The sequence below is a fragment of the Homo sapiens genome, chromosome 6, assembly GCF_000001405.40.
Source record: "Homo sapiens chromosome 6, GRCh38.p14 Primary Assembly".
NCBI classification, from domain to species: domain Eukaryota; kingdom Metazoa; phylum Chordata; class Mammalia; order Primates; family Hominidae; genus Homo; species Homo sapiens.
In genome coordinates this window covers 165,965,478-165,989,879 of record NC_000006.12, presented here as the reverse complement: position 1 = coordinate 165,989,879, position 24,402 = coordinate 165,965,478, and the positions used below count along the sequence as shown (strand labels likewise).

General features: G+C 43.5%; 1 protein-coding gene and 2 long non-coding RNA genes across 6 annotated transcripts in view; 2 read left to right on the top strand and 1 right to left on the bottom strand.

The window, feature by feature from the left end:
* LINC00602 (long intergenic non-protein coding RNA 602) lies at window positions 265-2,329 on the bottom strand. Its single transcript, NR_027284.1, has one exon. It is a non-coding gene; the product is annotated as a long intergenic non-protein coding RNA 602 (long non-coding RNA).
* The window catches only part of PDE10A (phosphodiesterase 10A), a 660,764-nt gene continuing 638,189 nt past the window's right edge, over window positions 1,828-24,402 (top strand). For all 3 annotated transcript variants that reach the window (XM_011535387.4, XM_017010194.3, XM_017010197.3), the window contains exon 1: window positions 1,828-3,772. The gene's annotated coding sequence lies outside the window, so the exon portion shown is untranslated. The remainder of the gene's footprint in view (window positions 3,773-24,402) is intronic.
* Window positions 1,841-24,402, top strand: part of LINC00473 (long intergenic non-protein coding RNA 473) — a 63,992-nt gene continuing 41,430 nt past the window's right edge. For both annotated transcript variants that reach the window (NR_026861.1, NR_026860.1), the window contains exon 1: window positions 1,841-2,351. This is a non-coding gene — a long non-coding RNA (long intergenic non-protein coding RNA 473). The remainder of the gene's footprint in view (window positions 2,352-24,402) is intronic.

Sequence of the window (24,402 nt, the reverse complement as noted above, 5' to 3'; positions counted from 1 at the left end):
GGAATGAAGAATTCTGTCCACTGTCATGGGTAAGTCATCTAAGATGTCTAAGAATGGACTCTTGGATAGAGAGTTTTGGGTTGAATGGTGACCTCAGTAAAAGTGAGATATTGCAGGACAGCAGAAGTAGAACTCTTAAGAAAGTGTTTTGGAACGATTCAAGACCCAGAGAGAGGAGAGAGACCAGAGCCACCATCTAGACAGCTGCATTCTTTTGTAAAGGGAAACAGAGAACCTGGGTAGAGATGGAGGGAGAAGGTGGAGAGTCAAGAAAGTTGTTATTTATTTTTCCCTGGAGAAATGACATTATGTGTGTGCGTAATGGGAAGGACCCAGGAGACGATTTATGGGGGAGTGCCAACGCCGTTGTGCAGGCTTCCCTCTCATGGCACAAGGGGTTGGGATCTAGTGACCCAGTGGCCTTTTCTGGGGCATGAGCACTAGGGGAGAAAGGTAAGACAGTGGCATCTTCTTGCAACCTTCTCGGACAGGTTGAACCACCAGGGACTCTGCGCAGGTGTCACCACACTCCCAGACGTCTGTTGTCACCTGGCGCGAAGCCCGGGTCTTGGGGTAGCAAACTTCCTTAGGTTCACTTCAGCGACATCTGTGCCGTCTGTCCATGGAAGCTTTTGGGTGCATTTATGAAGCTGCGCCCTGTGCCTGGCGCCTCAGAACTCAGCCCTTTAAGTTCCTCCCACCCAGGGTCGGGAACGGGCCTCACCATCCGGCTGCTCCTGCAGCAGCTCTTTCTGGCGAGTGCAAGCCCACGGATTCCCCGCGAGCCGGGTGCGGATGGGGAATCCGCGCAGCAGTCCCCTGCAAGCACCCTCCCGCCGTGCCCTCCTTCCCTGCGCAGTGCATCCCTGGGTGCTCAGGAAGGGAGAGCGCACGGTCCTGGGCCGCCAGCGGTACTCAGGGGGAGGCGACAGGCTTGGCTTCAGCCACAACGTTGCGCCACTTGGGCGCTCCCCTCTCTGTTGCTACCGTCCGTGCTGGTCTCGGTCCCCATCTCGACTCTTCGTGGTGCGGAGACTGAGCGCAGTTCCCTACGTTTTGCGTCCCAACTTCTCCGGGGCAGAAAAGACCCCTGGTGTGTGTTGGGGAGAACGGGGAGAGCAGGCCTTTGGCCTCTTAAGGGTCTTTTGGGGTCCCCCCACACTGCGCCTAGGCGAGGGCGCCTGTCCCCACGCGGGAGGAGCGCCCCTAGCGCCGGCGACATCTCTGCGGACCTGGTGGTCCCAGCGCGCGGGCATCCATCCATTCATTGCGACTCCCGGCGCGGCGGCCCTAGGACTCCAACAGAAATGTATGAATGGGAAGAGGAAAGAGAACCAATGTCTGTTTGCACTCCCTGCTTCCCCGCACCCCAGCCTCCCTCCAGGCAGAGCGAGCCCGACACGTAGTGACAAGGGGCGGGGGTCGGGTTGGGGGGACTGCGGGGGCGTGCAAGACTGGGAGAGAGTCTGGCTGGAGACTGCACTATTTATATACTCCGGTGCTCCAGGACAAAGAGGGCAGATCCGAGTCATCCCCCTCCCCCAGCCCCAGCACCTCCCCGGGCCCCTCCTCTGGTGGCTTTGATTTCGTGACCACCCCCCGGGGGGGCGGGCTGGCAGGTGCGGGGGTGGGAGCCGTCTCCGCGGGAGCAGCCTTGCCAAAGGTCCGGCTGCTGACGTCCGAGCGCCCGCTCCTGTCAATGAACGGCAGCGGTAGCCTGGGGACTGTTCTGGCAACGAGGCTACAGACGTCATCGCCTCCTGTTGGACGCGGGGGGGTGTCCGAGCAGCATCTCCGGCTTAAAGGGAAACTCTCTAAGTTCCGGGCAGCCGGGAGAGTCGTTCCTGAGAGCACAAGCACCCCCAAATGTGAAGTGCACTCGGACACACACACACACACACACGCACGCACACACAAGCACTCATGTTCTAAAGAGAGAGGTCTGAGTCCGAAGTTGCTGCTGCTGGGAGCTTGAGCTGAGATGGACTGGTCTTCATGGGCGCCCAAGGCGCTGGGTGCAGCTTTCCCCGAGACCCCCAGATGGAAAGGAGGGAAGGAGGAACCCCACACACTCGCCTTTTGCGAGAAGATCGGCGCGCACCCCAGAGTGCCCCAAGCCTTTGGAATCTGCCTGCTGAGCGGAGCGCGCGAGCGTGGTGGACAGGTCCCGAACTTGGCCAGCGGGCTTTCTTGGCAACTTGCTTTGCGCAGTTCTCCATGGAACCCTGGACCCACTGTGCTCCCGGCGCCTTGCCTTTTTTTTTCTTTTTCTTTCTCTCACTGTCTCTTTTTAAATTTATGAACTCGAAATGAAGCGGAAAGCAGATATGCGCGTCAGCATACTTTGGCGGGTAAGTTGACAGTTCTTTTACCTATTATTTAACCCTTGAGAGTCCAGAAAAACTTAGTCCCAATCTTTGTGTGTGTGTGCGTGTACTTAAAAAAACTTCCTGTCCTTTCCCTCCACCCTTTTTGGCAATAAGAAAACGTGTGCGCGTGTGTGGTGTGTTGTGCTTGTGGAGGTGACTGTTTGGGGGAAAGGGTGATGAGTGGACTCGAGAAAGAAGAAAAGGGAGTATATAAAGCCGAAGACTCAAGGGTTTGCAGAGGAGGGGAGAGAGACTGCAGCCCGCCCCAGCGCCAACTGACAGCCTCGGGGCTAACGCTTGATCCGAGGAGTTTGAGAGCTCCAAGTTCCCAGCGAGGGCTGCGCGCCAGCTGCAAACCGCAGCGGCTGCCGCGCCAGACCCGCAGGTGCCTCCCGAGGCGGCCTGGAGAAGGGATGGTGTGTGCACCGCAACTTCCTTCCTCCCGAGCCAGCCGCCCTTCTCCAGTTCTCAGTGGGGACAGGACCCCCTGCTCTTTTGATCCTCGCCTCTGCCGCCACTCTCTTCTCTCCCCCCACCTCCCCAGTCTCTTCTGCAAAAGATCCTGTGATGTCATAGGGGAGGAGGGGGTCCGGAGTCCCCAGCACCTGAAAGCATCACTAGATTGCATTCTGCAGCATTTTATTTTCTTCATGCCACCCAATTTTCCTTGCAACCCATTGAAATCGCATCCTCACCAAACACTGCAAACACTGTCCCGTCCCCCCTCCCCCCAAGCCAAGCCAAGCCCAACCATAAGACACCACTCCTTCATAGCTAGACAGGGCCAGGAGTCCTCATAGCACCCCACCCCATCGCCCCCCCAAATGGGGAAGAAATCCGCTGAGGCACCCAAGGAGCCTCTCCTTTCTGGTTTGATCTCTCCTCCCCTCTCGGCTCACCCTTCTACTTGAAGGAAAAGGAGGAAGGAGGAAGGAGAGAGAGACTGAGAGAGGGAGAGGGAGAGGCAGAGAGAGAGAGAGAGAGAGAGAGAGAGAGACAGAGAGAGAGAGGCGCAACACCAGCAAACAGTCTCCTAGACGTAGGGCTACATTGATGGACCGGATTGTAGGATTTCTGCACTGAGTCCCTGCCCCTCTGCCTTTCCTGCCACCCCAAGTCCCTTCCCCTCCTGAAGCAGCAATCTCTTCCATCTCCCTCTCTGGTCTCTTCTCCCCACCCCTTTCCTCTGCACCTAACCCCCTCCCCTCCATCCAACCCCACCTTCACTCTCCTCTCCGAGGGGGGAGGGCCAGGGGGTGGGGAAAGAAAACCCCCAAATCCCCAGCCCTGGGCAGAGATGTCGAAGAAACGCAAAGCCCTCGAGGGTGGAGGAGGTGGCGGAGAACCCCAGCTCCCAGAGGAGGAACCCACTGCCTGGTTTGGGGACAGCAGCGAGGAGCAAGGTAGGGGGCGGGGAGGGGGAGGAGAAAAAGGAACAGGAGCACATGCAGGAAGACGTTTGGGAGTTGAGATCCCTCCGCAGGAATGCCCTCGCCACGCTTCATCAGAGCTCCCTATAGCAAGACAACTTGAGTAGACTTTTCCCCCACAGATGGGATTTTACGTGTTTCTTCAGGATACGGGGAGTGGGGTGGGAGTGAGCTGATTAGATAATGCTGGAGACCCAGATCTGCGTGGACTTGAAGCTGTGTGGGGAAGAAGGGAGGGTGGGGTGGGAAGGGAAGAGGCCAAGAGGTATTGACTGGGGACAGCTGACTGTTTTCCCTCATGCCTGCCTGGCTGTCATGTGCATTGGTGTGGACACACCGTACTGGGGATGGAGAGCCTACATGAATGCCTGTGTGCAGGACACCTGTGTCCAGAGGGCAGGGGTGCCGGTGAGATCCCCCTCGGGCTCCTTGCTGATGAGGGACAGCAGGGAGGGACGTTTACTTCTTCCATGCTTCTCCAGTCCAGGGATGCTTAGGGCTGCGTCATGTGAAATCTTCATCCTCTGCACAGGCAGGGCCCTGTGCCTCCTCCTGAAGTTGGAGGTGAGGTTTTTGAAGCAAATGGGGTGATGTGCTGTGATTTCAAGGAGAGACGTGGTGGTGAAAGCAATTGGGTACTTCTTTGCCTAGAATAACACCAATGAGAAACTGAAGATGGAAAATTTCCTGTGGAAACACAAGTGATACTTGGATATCTGATTTCCACATAAAAGAAACCCAGGCAGACACCTGTTATTTCCCTTAAAGCTTTCTGGATTTGGTTTAAAGTAGGCCCCGATGAACTAGTCAGGCTTTTTCTGGGCTGCAGTTATAACGCAAAGGAAAAATGAACCAGATGGAGATGTTTTGTTGTTGGCTAAGCTGTGGAAAATTAGGTGAACAGGCATGTTGGAGAATCTGAGTCTGGATAGGTAGGCAGCTAGGTAGAGGGCTTATTTGTGTGACCGATTCCTTCCTGCAGCCCAGCTCTGTGGCCTCGGCTGTGGCAGGGGCCGAGCTGGGCAGAGTATCCAGAGAGACTGGCTTGGGCTCCTGTCTCCAAAATGGAGGCAATGGCTCTTCTCCTTTGACGTCACAAGAAACACCAAGTCACAGAAGTCCTTCCACCCAGAAAACATGAGTCTTTGTGTGCACTGGGAACCTTCAGCATGGCTTGCGTCCGTTTCCAAACAAAGGACGGGTTCCGGCCATGCCCGGAAAGGGCATTTTGGTTACACTGGAAGGAGTTGAGAAGAATCCCACCGCTTACCTCAAAAGGGGTATTTCAGTAACTGCAGGCTTTGACTTTCTCTGCTCAGTTATGATTTTAGATCAGAGCTAGGGCATTTCTTAAGTTACTTTTACTGAAAAAAAAAATGGCATTTGGTAAGAAATTCAAGCACTGCAGGTGACTTTATTTGTATGGTTGTATTTCTCCATCTTTGGGGGAAATAATTCAATATCACCATGAGTGTCTGTCAAATTCATCAGCTCCATACGCAGCATTTGGTTTTGACCTCGGGTCGCTCTGTAAAGGTACATAGGCTTTTCTTTTGGTTAAGAGCAGACGAAGTCTATGGGAACTGAAACCATTATTATGGTAAATAACAACCTTAATATTTTTAATGCTATTTTAATAATTAATAAATGTATGACTGCCAGCTATGAAAAGAAATAAGAATTGTATTTCAGCAAACATTTTTCATCTCTTTGGTGGAAATATTTGGTATTAGGATTTAAAAAAATCTATGCTATGGAAGTCTGTACTACCAGTAGCAAGTAATTCCCACATTCCCCAGGTAGTAAGAGTCTACAGAGGATATTTTGCAAGTCAGAATAGTCAACAGTAAGTACCTATATCCATAGTACTCAGAGATTATCATAATTTCAAAATGATTTGTTGTACAGTTTTTTTTAGCATAAAAATGTCTAAAGATTTTATTATATCCTTTGTATTTGGCAACTAAAAATGCTACTTGGTAATTGTCTGAGAATATGTAACTGTAGAAACCATTGAAGGGTGAACACTCCACTACCATGGAGTTGGGAATGTATTTCTTTGGGAAATGGAAACCATGGCCCATGCCTGCAGTGGCGGGAGCACATCTGTGCATTTCTGGTGGATGTCTGTGGTATATGGCTATATGAATACACGGCTGTGCACGCTTTCACAATGGGAAACCGGGAGGCCAGGTAGCTGGCAGTGTTTGAGTGACAGCTGTTCATGACACATAACCCCTTACCCATGATTAAGAAACTGCATTTTCTCTGCCTCTCAAACTCAGTGCTGTTGTTTTTTACCCCTTTGGGCCTCTAAGCCAAATGTGACTGTACACACACTGTAAAACAGAGAAAAGTATATATGTTGGTGTTGCTGACCTGGATGGAACATCAGAGGGGTCATCTTTTAAGTGCCAACAACTTGGAAGGTTTATGTGTTTGCTCATTTCAACCATTGAGAGTATATTATAGCATGTATGAAATGAAGGCGACTGGAAATTAACTTTCAGTGGTAGTCAATGATTTTAAGATGGCACGTTGGCAGGCTGGTTTGACTTGAAGTTTTAAATAGCTGATAGGCATATAGGCTGCCTAGAGAGGAGTGTGGTGGGAACTTTGAACATGAGAACTAAAGCCCTTCGGTCCTGTTCACCTCCTTCCCTACCACCAATCCATGCCAGAGTGCTCATGGTCTCTGGCCACAACTGCTAAGTGCTCATTTCAGGTCCTGTGCTGATACTTCCTGGCTATTGTGCTGTGTGGCCCCTCTATTGTTAATAGATTCTCATTAGAAGATTCCTTATGCTGATGAACGTAGGATAGTAAATGGGTCATTGTGTACACACTCAGATGGTTTTGGTTTCCTCCCTGACCTTAATAGATCCGGCCTGCTTAATTTAACTAGGCAAAAGGAAAGATGAAGTACATTATCCTAGCTTAGACTGAATGTTTCCTTGGATGTCCATTGAAGTTATTTGACACATGTACTCGTGTGTGTGTGTGTGTGTGTGTCGTAAAATTGTGATTAGGATACATTCCTCTTGTGGGCAGCAGCTGGCTCTGTGTCCAACATGTGTGCAGTCTATACTGATGGAAGATATTAGCATAAAATGTTAAACTTATAAACATTTTTCCTTTGTAACTTAAAGAAAATTGGTGTGCAAATGGACTATGCCAATGACAATTTTTGTTTTGTTTTGTTTTGTTTCTTCTTTTCTTAATTGCTTTGAACTTGGACATAAGATTGTGTTACAATGTTTGGTTGATTATAACTGAATGGACATGTGGAAAGCTGTATGGGAGGACTCTTTGATGAAAACCCCGAATAGTTGTATTTATTGATCTTATAACTAATAAGAAAGTACTTGAAAATTTTTTTCATTCTCTTCACATTCTTTTTATATTAGTCTTTTTTCAAAGAATTAGTATTTACTTAAAGAGTTTGGTTTAATCACAAGATATCTTATTAGTTACTATACACCGAAGAAGTAATACTGACTGTATTTTTCCAGTTACACTGTAGTTAGAAACCTGTTCTCTTAGTACCTGTAGCTTCTCTGAAATCTATCTCTATTCTCCCCTCTCCCCAATGTCACCCTAATTGGACTATCTTGCTTTGTCTTCTAGTTTTAACCTCCATGTCTTTCAAGATGGTTTTAGGTTAGGAAATTACGTAAGTGGTATATTATTACATTAAATTAATCTCATGAGTGTTTTAAAAGTAAGTAGTTTCTGTTTTGGATGAAATTGGTTAAGATCCTCCCCAGCCCAGTTTTCTGGGTTCTTGCCTTGGTAGTGCTTAAAACCACCCAAAGGGGAGACTCTGGGACTGAATGAATCTAGGGGACATTTGGGCATGACCGACTCACGCGTTCCTTCAATTTCTTGAGCCATAGTGAAATATGGGTAGCTATGATGTGGTCAGATGAAACAGTGACTGAGTGAACATATGGTTTTCAATAACCACATAACTCTACCTCTCTGACATTACAATAACACCAAGATTTTGTAGCTTTCCTGTATTAATAATGGGTAGTTAGCATTGGGAGAGCCTGAAACTGGGTATGGGAAATAGCATCAATTTTATGTCTCTAAAACTAGTTAAAAGTGAATGTGTATGTTGCTAACTGACCTACATCTACCTAACCCCCACCATCAGCTGGATTGATCTTTCCAACAGATTAATGTTTCTAATAGAATTGCTCAGATCGCCTATCTCTAAAATAGCTTACAAAAATATCTCTCAAAGGGTGATTTACATCATTGATATTAAAAAATGGGCATGGCCCTCGGAAGAGGAAATCAATGTTAAAGACAAACAAACAGTCATACAAGCATGCATTTTTACAGAAGTTTGATGGCAAAGGTGGTTATCGTTTAGACATTTTTTAAAGTTCTTGTGATAGTTTCTTTGGCTTCAAACCAGAAAGGCCATTACCATCCAGTGGGCCAAAGAAGGTGAAGGAGGGGACTTTGAGGAGAAAAGGAGCTCAAGAATGAAGCCTGCAGAATGGAACAGAGGCCTCAGTCCTCACTCATCTTTGGACCTGCCCCTGCCTTTTTGATTCAAGTGGGAAAGAAAATGACCGACATCTGAAAGACAAAGTCACCCCATGTGCCTCTCTCCTCCCCTCAGGTTGAATTAGATGGCCTTGGTGGTCCAATTTCTGTGACTTTGATTATGATTTTGGGAAGAAATGAACATAAACCATAACTGGACTTCAATCTAAATGATAACTGACAAAGGAACCAAATGAGGGGTAATTATTCATCTGAAAGTGTGGGGAGAGGAAGTTACCTAAAAACTGGATTATTTGAGAAGCCACTAACTGGGAGGATACTCTCTTTTTAGTACTGGCAGAAGCTCTAAAGCATCACAGTTCAATAATGTAGAGCACCTTTTGATCTAGAGTACAGCAGGGACTCTTCTTTATGTTGTAAATGGCCTATATTTACCTACATTTATATGTCTGTTTGCCAACTCTTGCTCCCCAACAAACATGCACCTGACCCTCCACTCCAGGGGAAAACAGAATTTCAAATAAACAGAGGTGAAAGTTATGTAACAATGCCACCTCCTGTCACTTCTATGGCTAGCTTAAATAATACAGATGGAACAAACGTTTCTCAGGCAAGCAGAAATTATCTTCACCTGTTAGCAGGAGGAGCACTTTTAATAAAAAGAACTGCCCAACCGTGACATGAAATTCTTAAGAGCTCTTTGACTTTCCCTTTCCTTCCTTGATGAATACAAGGTAGCAATCACGATGACCAATATCTTGATATTATATATTGCATGTATCATATAGATACATGCAAGTATATTATACACACATGGCAACAATAGTCAATGGTCATGAGAAGATGTACAGTAAGTCCTCCTCCAACCCCAAATGTCACCTACGTGACCCTGGTTCTTATGAAGCCAACCAGAAATTTCCTGAGCACATGCAGGGTGATATATGTAACATCCCTTTCATATACAGACACAAGTATCCTGTTAAACTGTTCCCCTTATACTTTGCTTTATCCACTTACCTGTGTCCTGGAAATGTATCAGCATATATAAAACTACCTTCATTGCCTGTATAATATTCCGTGGTACAATGTGCCATAATTGATTTAACTAAACCCTATTGAATGACATTCAAAATACTAGTCTCTTGCTTTTATAAATAAATAAAGCTTTCATAAGCAACCACACAGTACTTTCTCAACACATGTATACATGTATATGTTGGTAAATTCCTAGATATGGAAGTTGAGTCAAAGAAATGATAACTATTTGAACTCTACCGAAGGCCATTTGTCCATACCTGCTGTAATTTTCTTATGCAGTTTGATCTGTCATGAGTACAGACACTACATTTTGAAAATCCCAAGTTGGGATATTTGGTAAGTATAAGCATATTTCTCAAAAGAGTGGGATAGAGTATTTGAAATGTAGAAAGTCCCAGCTGTAGGGTGATTACACCTATGATGGATTTTAGGATTCATAAGACAACTTTTTTTCTTCTCCTGCTCTCTGCTTAAGGTGGATGTTGGGATGGGCGGTGTTGCATTACATCCATCTCAGTAACAATACATAGGCGCAGGTTTGTGATTTTGCTGTAGAATAAACATTGAGGAATTTAAGTAGTGACAGAGAATGAATTGTGTTATTTTAAAATGTGTATTATTTTAAAATAGGACATGAATGTTCTTTCTGAGGAGATTTGTGAGAATTGTAATTGGTATATGTATTACTCTTGAGTTCTCATAACCACAATGGTAACTCTGAGTGTCGTGACTTTCGCACATTTTATATATTTCGAGATTCCTCAATTTGTCAGTCAGAATGTTGGCTCTCAAAGAGTGGGAGTGGTGGTGTCTTAACTGTGACATTTCCACCGTGTGGGAGTTGATAACCCCTGCCTTGTACCGTTTTGTCCCTGCTCCTACCAGTGTACCTGGCACCTAATGGGCATGTGAGCATTTCTTGTTGAGTGACATTATGAATGTTTTTGTAAGTGAGGCAACTTGAATTAACAAGTATCTTATTTAATAGAAACTATAATATTTCTACTTGTAAATGACTATAGACAAGAAGAAATATTTATATTCAGTTGTGAAAGTTTTTTATTCATGAAATAAAATCTGCTATGAGATTAAACATGCCACAGCAGCACATATTTGTAAAAGCATTTTTCTTCAGGACATAATTTTAAGGTGCTAATGCCTGGTATGAATGGGTGAGAGAGAAGCAGAAACATGTTCCCCTTCCCCTTCTGCTTCATACCTGGGCCAGCTGGGGAGAAAGCCCACGTGCTCCTTCCCTTGGTGCTAATGGGGAGTTCAGCCCACACAAGTCTTGGCCAATGAACAAGAACCCTTACCCAGCTCCAGCTCCCAACCACAGCAGGCCCCAAGCCTGTATCCCTGCTTTCAAGCCATTTTCAGACACACTCGGAGCTAGCCCTCCTCTGCGTAGAAAGCCTCACTCTGAGTAATAAACCGGTTTATGTCCTCTTGGTGCGTGTGTCATCAGAGTTGACATCTGAATGAAATTTTGGGTGGGAGATCCATCTCACTCTCATGGAATACCCATCACAAACATGTTGTTACATTTTCTTTTTCTCCTCCTCCACCTCCTCCTCCTTTTCTTATTCTTCTCTGGCACACAGAATTATTATTATTCTTGGCTGAAGTACTTCAGAGTTATTTATAAACATTTTGATAATCTAAATACTTTAGATTTATTTTCTAAGGGCAAGATATTCCTGTACATGACCACAATTCAACACCTATTCTAAGAATGCTTAACAATGATATAACGTTATTATCTAGTGGGAGCACATATTCAAATGTCCCCAGTAATAGCCTAGCTGGTTTCTCAATCCAGGATCCAATCGGGAATCACACATATGTTGAGTCGTCATTTTTTTAATCTAAAAAAACTCCAGGACATTGACATTTTTGAAGCATCTAGGCCACTTTCAGAAATCCCAAATTTGGATTCATATGATGCTTCTTAGTGATTAGACTCAAGTTAAATATTTTGGACAAAGATACCACATAGGTGGCACTGTGCCATTCTCAATGCATCCCATTGGAAAGCACCTGATGTCAGCAGGTCCTGTCGTGGTGACATTAAGTTTGATCGCTTGGTTAAGAAAATTTCTGCTAGACTTCTCCACTGTAAAGAGAAGTAGTAATAAACTCTGATTATTCTTCCCTTATGCCATGGCAAAATGTCTGCCTAAAGTTGCAAAATGTTGACAACTAAAATCCTTAATTTAATATCATTCATAATTATATAAATTTGGATTTTATTTACATGACAACATTTTTCTTTTTCATTGAGGTGTGATGATTTTAGAAAGGGCTCTTTCTGAGCTAAACAGCTTAGGTGAATTTTACGGGAAAAGCTCAGTGGATTTTAACATAAATAAACACCAAGATGTAAGCCATTTCCAGCATTCCAGAAGGCTTCCTGTGCCCCTTGCCTCATCAGGTCCCTTCCCACAGGTAACCATTGTTCACCCTTCTGACCTCTGTCATCAATTCATTTGCCTGCTCTGGGACTCTTCTGTAGGAATGGAAAAGCACATCTTCGTTACCTGGGTTCTTTTCTTCAAACTTTAATCTGTGGGATTCAGCTTCATTGTTGCAGTAGCTTGCTCTTTTTAAGTGCTAAGTAATATTCTGTTGTATCACTATTCCACAATTTACTTGTTTTTTCTACTATTGGTGGACATTTGAGTAGTTTCAACTTTGGGGCTACTCCAAATAAAACTGCTATGCAACATTTTTGTACATGCCTTTAGTGGACATAGACCCTCATTTATTGGAGGCACAAATCCTACAGACCACTTTTTATTTTAATAATTTGTTTAATGTTCTTTATTAGTCATTGGAACTCATCAATGAAGGTGTTTGATTTTCTATAAATATGTCTGAATATCACAAACCTTATATTCATAAAAAATCCAGGTGCCTTCATGGGAACACTTAAAATTCAGATATAGAATCTTGACAAATGAACTAGATTTTACCCATAATAGAAGTCTGTGCTTAATTTTGACTCACAAATATAATTATCCCTCTCTACCATGGATGTTGAATTTGGTGCTTGTTCATTTAAGTGGTGTATTGTGCTTGCTTTGAGGACGCTGAAGGAGACGGTATTAAGAAGAAAGATGGACCATCACCAAGTTATACCGTCCTGAGGTACAGTTTGCTGGTAGTGTGGGTTTCTTTACTTCTGTTTGAGAAAAGCTTACCAGATTGAGAAATCTCTGCCTAGGAAAGTCCGTAAGTTCAGCTCAAGAAGAGAAGGAATCTGCTATCTTTCCCAAACTGCTTTTTCGTGCTATTGTGATTTTGATTTCCAACCTTCTTTATTTTTCTGCATCAATGTGGCATAATGACATCCACTTGCTGGTCTTATTTGGGGCTGGCCTGGACTAACTGTGAAGTAGAAAGGGACAAGTGTAACTTTATGTCACCCTCTTGCCACAGAATGATAAATCTCATCTTAAAGTAACAGGTTCTGTAACAAGATAGAGAACTTTCAGTTATCTTCACATTTGGCTCCAGCCTATCTCTCACCAAGGGAACTATCTGTTTGGGACAATGCTTCGATGTGTGCTGACAGCAGAGGGTGCGATTCCAAGGCTTCCGGTGCACAGGGTTTGATTGCTCCAGGAGAGCGTGTGGGGAAGGTGGGGACAGGAGGATGGCATGGCGCACAGCCCGAGGAGGGCCCTGCTGCAGGGTGGCTGGTGGGGACTGCAGAGCCCAGGAACAGCTGTCAGTTATTGTGAGCTGGTGTGGTGTGTGGTGGAAGACGTGACTCTCTGTGTGAGTCTAGTGCTCTGTCAAGTTTACCAAATTCTTGAGTGATTCAGAGAGGCTTTGTAAATGAAAAACCCGTGAAGGGTCTGAGTTTCACATATGGGCTTTGGTGGCATAAACCAGAGTGAGTGCGTGTGAAGTGGTAGCCAGAGTCAGGCGAGTCCAGGAAGACTCAGGTTCTAGAATATTCTTTGAAACCTTGGCAAAGGCTCTGGTGTCTCCAGGTAGGAATATGTTGCGATTCAAGGCAAATCACCCTACCCCAAGGGTTAGCAAACTCTTGGCTTTGAGCTATATTGAAGCCATTTTTTTCTTAACTTGAAGTGAATTGGAACATTTTGATTGTAGTCACGGCCTAGTCTCCTGTTTTCAATGTAGAATCACCTGTGGCTTGAGATTTAGGTATACAAAGATGGTGAGAGGCCTGATTTTACTCAGGGCCCAACAGATTTTAGTGATTCAGCCTAAAATCACTGGGGCTGAGTCAACATCAGCTGTTATCTTACACGATAATAATAATAATTAACATATCCACATAACAGTAACTTAAAAGGAGTCTTTTTTAGCTTCATTATGAATGTCAAAATGTATATGGAGAAGATAAATTTGTCATGGCATACAAGAAAAATCTATACCTAACTGACAACATGCTAATTTTATCCATACCCCTCTATGCTTAATAGCAGGTTCTTTATTTGCCTACTTACTCCCATTTTTGTTGTTCAGTCTCTGATTCTAAGATTTGTAAGATCATCATTATTTGATTGTCTAAAATACAATGCAAAAGAATTACAACATGGAAGTGAAATGTTGTCAATTACAAGATTTCATTAAATCCAAGAGAGGTGCTGGGAACAGCTCTACCCACACGCAATATCGTTAAAAAACAAGTTAGACTTTGAACTTAAAAAGGAAAATCCATGAGGGTTATCCTGTGTCCCTACTACCAAATATTTCTATTCCATTCTATTCTAGACATCAAAAATGTGCCAAGTATCCACTAAGCTAAGTGCTGGACACATGGTGTCTCAGGAACAGGCATAGCCTTGCTAGTCATAGTGAGGGTGTTTCATTTAACTCATAGAACAAAGTGTCATCTGATAATTTCTTATTTTGCTTACTTTTATTGTCTGCCTCTCCCCATGAAAATATATTCTCATTAAAGTTGGAAACTTCTTTGTGCTTTCTTCCTGTGTACCTCTAGCAGTTGGACTAAAGCCTGGCAAATGTTAAGTGCTCTTAAACTTTTTGTTGAATGAATGTGTGACTGAATGATTGAGTTCTCCTTTAAAAAAAAATTTTAATAGAGATGAGGTCTCGCTATGTTGCCCAGGCTGGTCTCGAACTCTTGAGCCCAACTAATCACCCACTTCTGTCTCCCAAAATGCTGGGATTACAGGCATGAGCCACTGCACCTGGAATAAATTGTCTTTTTAATGGAACTTTTCCCTTGAGTTAGGGTGAATCAAAAGCTTTATAGAAAAAGGCTAAGGGGGACTTTTAGAAGAGCTCCCCAGATAGCCTGAATACCTCCCGGCTCTCAGTCAGTCTCAGTTGCAAGTGGCAACACGCAAAGAGAATAAACTTAAGTGAAAGGCGGTTTATCAGCAAGTCTTGGGGAGAGGCCACAGCAGAGGAGTGTACAGAAAGCAGCCACCTCCAGGGTCTGGACCCGGGCTCCTTCTCCTGCCTCCATTGTTCTCCCAGACAATGAGATGAAGTGCAGCTCAAGGTAACACCCTCACAATCCCTGCGCAGCCAGGAAAGAATACCTTGTCCCGGTTAACCCAGCCAAAATATCCCAAAGGCAGACACTCCCATTTCTATAGATAGGGCAGGTGTGTTCCTAGAAGAAAGTTCAAGAGAAAACTGTGCAGAGAGGCACGACAGTCACCCTCTGTTCCTCCTGCCAGATCCCTCTCACTGAGTAAAGGTGGCACCATTGCTGTCCTTTCTGGCTGTAGGGAACTTGCCAATGTTTCTTTTATTGTCTAGTAAAATTTAGTACAAATGTTCTCCTTCAGCAATAGAATCTAGCATACTGTGGTCCCAGAGAAGGTACCAATGAGATGTAAAACAGATGTGCAATGCGCTATCAACTGGTAAAGTCTTAATATCTTATGTCCATCAGGTTCTGCACTCTTTATCATTCAGCAAAATTGATACTTACTTTTAATTATTGCTTATGATATCTTCTCTTCCAGAACTCCCATTCTCCACTATGTCTTTGTGTAGGCCTTAAGCATCCTTGGAGGCCCTTGTGAATTTCTACCTTCTCCAGGAAGCATGGCCATCCCCACAAGGGGCAGACAGGTTCTTTCCTCCAGAACTCCAGGGCTCTGGGTGGTGTGCCAGGCACTTACTATACCCCCTGGTGCATGAGGATTGTTCCAATCATTTTTAGATCCCTCTTTCTCCCATTAGCCTGAAGGATTCTAGAGAAGAGATTTGTTTCATGCACATTCTTGCAGTCGTTGGAGTCACTATTTGTGTAGAAGGCCCATGACCATTTTCTGATGGAATAGAGACATACATTTGTGAAAGTTGCCACTTGTCAAAAATGTATGGATGAAAGAGGAGGAAAGATGTAAAGAAATAAAACTCTACATATCTGCATTGATAAGAAGCTCTCCTCTAGCTACTAGTGATATCAGTATACAGTATGAGAAGGCAATTTCAAACTTGTAATTGATATGTTTAGCATTATTTAACGTGAATTTAATAATTTAATGGACTGATTCAAATGGTACTTTGTAGATGATAGAAAATATAAGGATAAAACTATCTTGCTTCAGACAATGACTGGTGCACAAGGTGGGTAATTTTTATGCAAAATGCTTTAGTTTTGTTAAGAAATTCTGCATGTTATTGAAGAAAGAAATTGCCCAAGTATCAAAGAAGATGAATTGTGATAAAGGAATAAAAAAACTTTACATGAAAAGCTATGTTACTGTATTCATAAATGAACACTGCTGCGGTCCAGCCATTTCACATCTGTCTGGATATTCCTGCGACGTCCTGACCTCACCCCTTGTTTGGGATGGGCCAGTCTGGGGCCCACGCGGCGGTGCTTCTCATCTGTCTGCCTCTTCCCTGGGGCCTCTTCAGCGATCACAGCCATCTTCAGACTGCCAGGAACAACTGAGTCTTTCTTCAGAATTTTTTTTTTTTTCATAAAAAAGATTTTAAGCTTTTGTTAATGTAATACATTCCTTAGTCAATCTCAACTAACTTCAATAAAACTTCCTTTTATCTTTCACTCACAAAACATATGCAGGGATCCTAAGAGACCTCAATTCCATCACTTTTTTATTTTATTTTTTTTTTTTTTGAGGCGGAATTTCACTCTTTTCACTCAGGCTGGAGTGCAATGATGCGGTCTTGGCTCACTGCCACCTCCGCCTCCCGGGTTCAAGTGGTTCTCCTGCCTCCCAAGTAGCTGGGATTACGGGCACCTGCCACCATGCCTGGCTAATTTTTACATTTTTATCAGAGACAGGGTTTTGCCATGTTGGCCAGGCTGGTCTCGAACTCCTGACCTCATGTGATCTGCCAGCCTCGGCCTCCTAAAATGCTGGGATTACAGGCATGAACCACTGTGCCCAGCCTCCATCACATTTTGGATTGGGCTCAACCAGTATTTTTTTGAATTATGGAGAGCAACCTATTTGTGAGCTATGAAATCGATTTATTTTTACTGAGTCCTAACTATGTTTTTAAGCAGCTGAATGGAATGGAAGAGAAGGGGAGGGAGACGGTGAGGGGAAGGGGAGAAGAGAGAAGGAGAGAGGGTGGGAATGGAGGGGAGAGGAGAATGAGCTGGTGTTGTACAGGGACTTGTGTATGTGTGTATTTGGTACTCTTGTCAAACACATTTTTTATTGTGAGTGAAAACAGTAATAAAATCCCTGGCCGAGACCATATTTTACAGGTATCTTGGTCACAATAAACAGAGCACCAATGCCAGAATTGTTCTGGCCTCTTGGCGAAAAATAATACAATATTTAATTAATTGAAGCCAGTTACTTTGGATGAAGGGTTGTCCCTTAAAGGGCTCTCAGCCTCCTTTGTTCACTGAAGGGGCACGCACCTGCATCTCAGCACCCGAGCCTCAGTGCCACTGGAGACTCCTGTCATCACTGTCCCTGCTGGCTGACAGTGTCTAAAGCTGCTTGGGTGCGCTGTGTCTCCCCAGCTGGATTGAAAACATTTTAAGGGTACAACCAACTCTTTGTCTCAGTTATTCTTCGGGGAATAAGTAGAGTAGGTGTTTCACAAATAATTTTTTTTCGTGACAGAGACTGGGACACATCTCAGCCATAGGTCATACCACCTGGCAGGGTAGGGTGAGAGGAGAGGAAGACAAGAGAGCCATACTGGGTGCCCGTGGCCAGCAGAGAGAGTGTGGAGGACCCAGGGGCAGAATCCCCGTCCACCTGCGCAGGTGGCCACCCTGCTGGTACCGCGAGTTCTCACTTCCCAGCAGCTCCATCCCGGCCAGCAGAACAGAATGTTCCCCACCTTCTACCACAGAGTGAAAGGTGCACTCTCCTTTCTAAAATCATTTTTATGCTCTTAAAACTTTTCACACCTAATTCTCAATCCTTATTCCAATGTGCTTGGGGAGTAATTATGTATTTTCTTTAAGTGAGATTCTTTCAGGCTTCCTTTGTTACAGCGTGTACCTTTTCTTTCACCCCCTCACACCCCAGGAGGCTGGACTGCAGCCTCTGTTATTTATGCCGTGATTGCTACTGTGTCAGGTATCACTCCTTATTCTATACTTTAACAGGTTTAAAGTTAAGCCCAAGTCAACGCCATGGGTACATACAGTTCTTTATTTTCCCCTTCAAGAGTGAAATCTGGGTAGTCTAGATTTGATAGGTACAGAGGTAAAAATAATAAAATAAATAAATAAAAGCTCTGTGGCTGCCAAAATGCCAGTTTTCAAAATTAATGCCAAGTTATCTTTGGAAATGTCTGGAATGGTTGTGGTTTGCAGTACCGCTTCCAATCCCAGGCCTGAAGATTTAAACTTTTGCATTCTCTTTTGAAAAATCAGAAGCAGTAAATTACTATTGTTTTGCTTCTTCTTTTTCTCCCATCTTCAGTAAAATACATACGTAAAACTTGGTTCTTAATTGGCAAGGCACTTTTGACAGTCTGGGCCTGAGTTTGGACCAAGAGAGAAATGAAAATGAAACGTACAGTCGCACAGTCACATGTTTCCTGTGTGCAAAGACCCAGAAAGTGGCAATGGATGATGGGCAAGAGTTTATTTTCCCAGCCCTGAAGGAATTTTCAGTCTTATAGGAAGGTAAGAAGGTGTGGCATGAGCCCTTAAGTGAGGTCGTCCAGTGTGTTGCAGAGGTTTCTGGAAGGGAGTGAATCATTTCTCCTAAGCTTGACTGAATTGAATCATGGATGGCCTTGAACTTCCAGCTTGAGGTGCTCACGAGTCAATGAGGGGTCTCCATCATGTTCAATCATGTATTTAACAATCAGAATCCATTTCTGTGCCATTTAAAAAAAATTTAACAGTGATTTCTTTATAGCGATTTCTACTAGGTTCAAAAAGCAAATTGGAAGTTTCCTTTTTTTTTTTGTCTCCCTCTGTTGCCTAGGCTGGAGTGCAATGGTGCAATCTAGGCTCACTGCAACCTCTGCCTCCCAGGTTCAAGAGATTCTCCTGCCTCAGCCTTCCGAGTAATTGGGATTACAGGTGCAGGCCACCACACCCAGCTAATTTTTGTATTTTTAGTAGAGACGGGGCTTTGCCATGTTGGCCAGGCTGGGTCTCGAATTCCTGATCTCAGGTAATCCACCTGCCTTGGCCTCCCAAAGTGCTGGGATTACAGGTGTGAGTCACTGAGCCAGGCTGAAAAATTTTTTTTTCATTATCAGAATAATGGGGTCCAATTCATGTTCTGATAATACTTTCTCCAATGCACTGTTTTTGTTGTTGTAATTCTATTCACTTATTCTTAAATAAAAAATAAATGCAATTGGCAAAAATTCAAAAGACAAAAAGATATATAACAAGAAATAAATCTTTTGTTTAATTCGGTACTGTTTCAAAGTTTTCTTCATATAGATATGGCTTCTTTCCTCTAAGTTTATTTTTAGCTATGTTTACCTTTTTATTGAACTTATAAATGGAGTCATTTCTTCTATTAAATCTTTTAAACAGTTTTTTTATATATGATAACTGTTATGGATATTTTAAAAAACAGATATTTAAATTTTGAAATGATCTCAAACTTATATAAAACATGCATGTACAGTAGAAATTTTTTTGTCTGAACCATTACCCCAAATAATTTAGTGTGCATTTTCTACACACCAAGACATTCTCTTACATTGATCACCTTACAACTACCAAAATCAGGAAAATAATCGTGATACATCTCTACCATCTAATCTTCAAATCTCATTCAGGTTTTGTCAGTTGTTCTAATAACATCTTTGATAGCAAAAAGATCTGTTCCAGAACCACACATAGCATTTGTCTCTTTGGTTTCCTTCAGTCTGGAGCAACCTCTCAGTCTTTCGTGGGCTTCCATGACTTGTGGTTTTGAAGATTTTGAGCAAATGATTTTAAAGATTGTCTCTTGGTTTGAGTCTGTTTTGGTATATACTCATGGTTAGATCGAAGTGATGCCTGCTGGGGGAAATATCATAAAAATGATGCTGTGTCCATTTGTCCTATTACTGACGGTGTTTACTTTGACCACTTGGTCACTAGCTTAAGTTAGTGTCTTCCAACAGTCTCCACTGTAAAATTACACTCTTTCCCTTTGTCATTATGAAGGAATTTGGGAGTAGCTACTCTGAAATCATGTAAACATTTTCTTTTTCTCCAAACTTCTTCAATTATTCACTTGCTGATTTACATGAGTATGGACTTATGGTTTCCTATTTTATTCAATGGTTTATAACACATTATTTAATTTACTTTGAAGCTTAAATTGTCCCAGGTTTGGGCAGTGGGAGCTCCTTCAGGGTGGCTTCTGTGTCTTTCAATGTATACATTTCTATCTCGATCTCTCTCTGTTTAGAGATGAGACATGTATACATATACAAATACATTTATAGCTGTATTTTTTTCTGTATTTAATCTATTAGGTTGGTGCAAAAGTAATTGCGGTTTTGGTCATTAATGGCAAAAACCGCAATTACTTTTGCGCCAGCCTAATATAGTCAAAACCAGGAATTCGTATCAACACCTTCATTTCACCCAGTACAACTGGGCTACTTCTAGTTTCTCCTTGTTAGTGTTTGTACCTCTCTTCTCCTCCATCGCTATAGCTACAGCTGTGTCTTATTTGAACAATTGTCTGGGTGTAGCCAATCTCCCATAACCGCTGCCACGCCCTCCCCAGTGAGGACACTGTCCCTACCCCCTCCAGGCTGTGACACCTGAGCCACCACCCTCCTCCTCTATCTTTGGCAGAGCTGCTTATCTTGTCAGGGGAAGAGGAAGAAGAAGAGGAAGTTTGAAAGCTAATTTGTACTCTGCCACCTTATTGATTTCTGTTACTTACATTTGTTCTTCATATTATTTTCTCAGGTAGTTCTTCATAACATGATTTGCAGAAGGGTAATTTTACTTTCCTTTTCCAAACGTTATACCTCATATCTTTCTCATCTGATGGCATTGTCAAATGCTTCCAGAATGTCATTAAATGAGGACAATGATGAAGACTTTATGGGAATGCTTCTTTTGTTTTTCACTCATCATAGTGCTGGCTTTGGGTAGAGACAGGGAGGTTTCATCAGGGTGATGATTCTTAAGTGCAAACCTGGTACCAACAGAGAGCTGCATTCAACCTTAAGATGGATTCCCATTGACCACAGGGTGCAGGTTCAAGCCCGCAGCCTGGTCAGTGGGGCCCTACAGGCTCTGCCTTCTGCCTTCTCTGTCTTTGCCTCAGGACTTTATTGATCATTTTCCTTTTAATCAAGAGTAGATGTTAGAGATAAAAATTTATCACATCTTTTTTGCTCATAGATATAATCTTATGTGTTTTCCTTTTTGATCTGTTAATCATCTTCAAAACATTTTAAAATCCCTTGTTTACAAGGAAGCCCCAGTTAGACACAACTGAAGTTTTCCATGTCACGTGGTCAGGGTAGGTCACTTAAAGAATCACATGAAATCTCTCTCTGTCTGAGTCATGACGCCTCACATGGTGAAAATTTTGGAGCTGCATGTCTGATTTTGTTCCTCCTTGGTCAAAAGAAAATTAGCGTGTTGAAAATGTTTGGCCCATTTTCTAGAAATCTATGTAGGTAAGAGACCCCCATTGTGATAGTGGGTGGTAGTGGTGGCTTCATGGTGACATTGTTTTAAAATGGTACTAAGGCGAGCTGCTTGTGTTACAGCAAGTGTGAGTGACACCATCCACCACAGTCCGATGGGTTTGATGTCAATACTGTGTAAAATACAATGACCTGCGATGGTTTCATTTAAACCTGACATTTTGCATAGGCATGCTGGTGAATCCTGCACAATACTCTTCGCTAATATCATGCCTCTTGATGAGTCATCTTCTCCTAGTTTCTCCAATACTCTCCTAAGAGCAGGCATCTCTGTCATTCCCTGATGGAGGAGGGGCACTGCCACCCACCAACTCACCTAATACCAACCTTTCTGTGCCACTTCCCTACATATTTTGTATGATGATCAGTGTCTTTCACCCACATTGTCTCCTAACCTTGGACATCTTTCTGTGTGATGCTTCACTGCTCAGCATCGACACCAGAGCTGCTCTGTGTGTGTTTAATATTAACAGAGGTGTGATGTCTTACAGGAAGGTTAGCAGAGTGCAGTTTTGGGGAGTGCTATTGTGAAACCCAAGAGGAGGCAGAGTTTGTGGTGAAAACAGCTACCCATCTATTTACACATCAAATGAAACATGGGAATCACTTCTCTTGTGTATAAATTCATGAAAGTTGATTAGAGACTGGGAAAATAGTCATAGAGCAATCACAGGGCTATCTCAAAAGCATGGTTGAAGCCCATGTCTAAGAATTAAAAGACAGATGTGTATTACCCAAGGAAAATGCCCAAGACACTTCTCTATTTTCTGTCCTGAATCTCTCATGTACAGATGCTATTTCTTTATTCAAATCATCTTTTCCTTATGCAGTATTTGTTTTTGAAATGATTTTCGATTGTTTAAGAAAAAACCATAGATACGAATGGTGTTCAAAATTTCTGACAGTTAAACAAATTTTTTTTTGAGACAGAGTTTCGTGCTCCTGTTGCCCAGGCTGGAGTGCAGTGGCACAGTCTTGGCTCACTGCAACCTTTGCCTCCCGGTATCAAGTGATTCTCTTGCCTCAGCCTCCCAAGGAGCTGGGATTACAGGCATGCACCACCACAGCCGGCTAATGTTTGTATTTTTAGTAGAGGTGGGGTTTCACCATGATGGCCAGGCTGGTCTGGAACTCCTGAGGTCAGGTGATCTGCCTGCCTCGGCCTCCCAAAGTTAAGATTACAGGCGTGAACCACTGTGCCTGGCCAATAATTTGTATTTATTTGTTTAGAGTCAAGATTCCCTTTGTCTCAAATATTGCAGGGTCTGACACAGGCATTGGGGTGAGAATCAAAGCCCAGGGCATCTCTAGGAATCAGTTGTACCCTTCCATATACGGCAAGCACTTGGTACCCCAGATAATTGTAGTTCCCTCTTCTCACTCATTTCTAGAAGCTTAGCAGTCAAATTTCTGTCTCTTCTTTAAAAAATTTAGAGGATCTTATAGCAACAACATAGTGTATTACCCTCATTTCCAGTTTCATCTTGTTTTTCTTCCCTCTTTCTCCTTTGTGTAGATTTTTTCATCTATTTATTTTATATTTTATTTTCTCTTGACTTATTGTGTGCAGTTTTGTAAGCTACCTGAAATCTCTTTTGGCATAAAATCAGAATATAAACACATGAATAACCACAATGAAATAAATACATGCATTATTATTTGGGGACAAGTTTCACCTCCTTTACTTAGTGCATGCACCGTGAGGCCAGGGACAATGCTTGTTTATTCTCTTTGCATCTTGCCATGAGAACAAGGCTTTGCAAAAATTGTACCAAGGATTCAATGGATGTTTGTTAAATTGTGAAGAGTTGTTTCTGAGTCCATGAGGCAAAGCAGTGGACTCGATATTCACTGCATGATGACAAAAAAGCAAGTGGGCTTCCCACCCAGTTGTTTTTTAAGCATCTTCCACGAGCTGGGCTGCGAGGCCTGGAACACTGCATGTTGTCCCTCACGTCCAGGGCCCACAGTTGAGTAATGGTCACAGACATAAGAACATGCAGTAGGCTACAGCGAGACACATGGTCAGGAGACAAAATGCAATGCAAAAATGAGCAGGGGGTCACGTGAATTCACACTGGGCTGGAAAAGCCTCACCTCCGAATCTGAATGCTCTCTCTGTGAAGAGCATAGGAAACAAGGGGTCTACAGCCTTTAAAAGTAACTCACAGTGACCTGACTTACCTAAGCTCCATTATGAGCCCTGTGGGGAGGCCACTTTTCCACTCTTTCTGCAGACATTTCATCTCTACATCCCCACTCTTTCCTCAACCACTTGGTTTTCGAGGAGGCATTATTGAAGTTCAAATGTGTTAGATTACAATTACTTGGAATATGAAGTCCCAATTTTGTAGTTATCTGATCTGAAGGAAGATGTGTGTGGAGGTGTTTAGTGATGTTTTCCGATGACGGTGATTCCCCCTAAATCTATGTATTAAATACAATGGAACAGGATCCACAGTTCACCCCTAATAATATAGTTTACTGAATGTTTTATGTAGCTATGACCAAAACTCACAAAAGGATCAGAAGCCTCTGTAACATCCACCATGGTTTGTTCCAGTTTACTCAGCAGCTCCTGGGCTGTCTTCAGTGCTGTTGGCTGCAATCAGGCAGAGCCCCAGCTACATATTACCTTGTGGAGAGTATTGAAAAGTCAGCACATGGCTCTGTATTAGTACTTATGATCAAACTCAGACTCGCATAGGCCCAGACATTTCTAAATGTAGACACAGTTTTTTAGTTGCAAGGATAAACCCAAAGCCACTATTGAATTTTATATTTCCCGAGCAGCATAATAGCCAGAAGTGTGCTGAGTGACAAAGAAATACAAAGGTAAGGATGGCAGTATTAGGGCAGGAGTGTGAAGTTGTAGGGTATCAAATCCCAGGAAAACCTTAGGATCTAGATTGGAATGCAGTCTCGCCCTCATTTTGACAGAATTG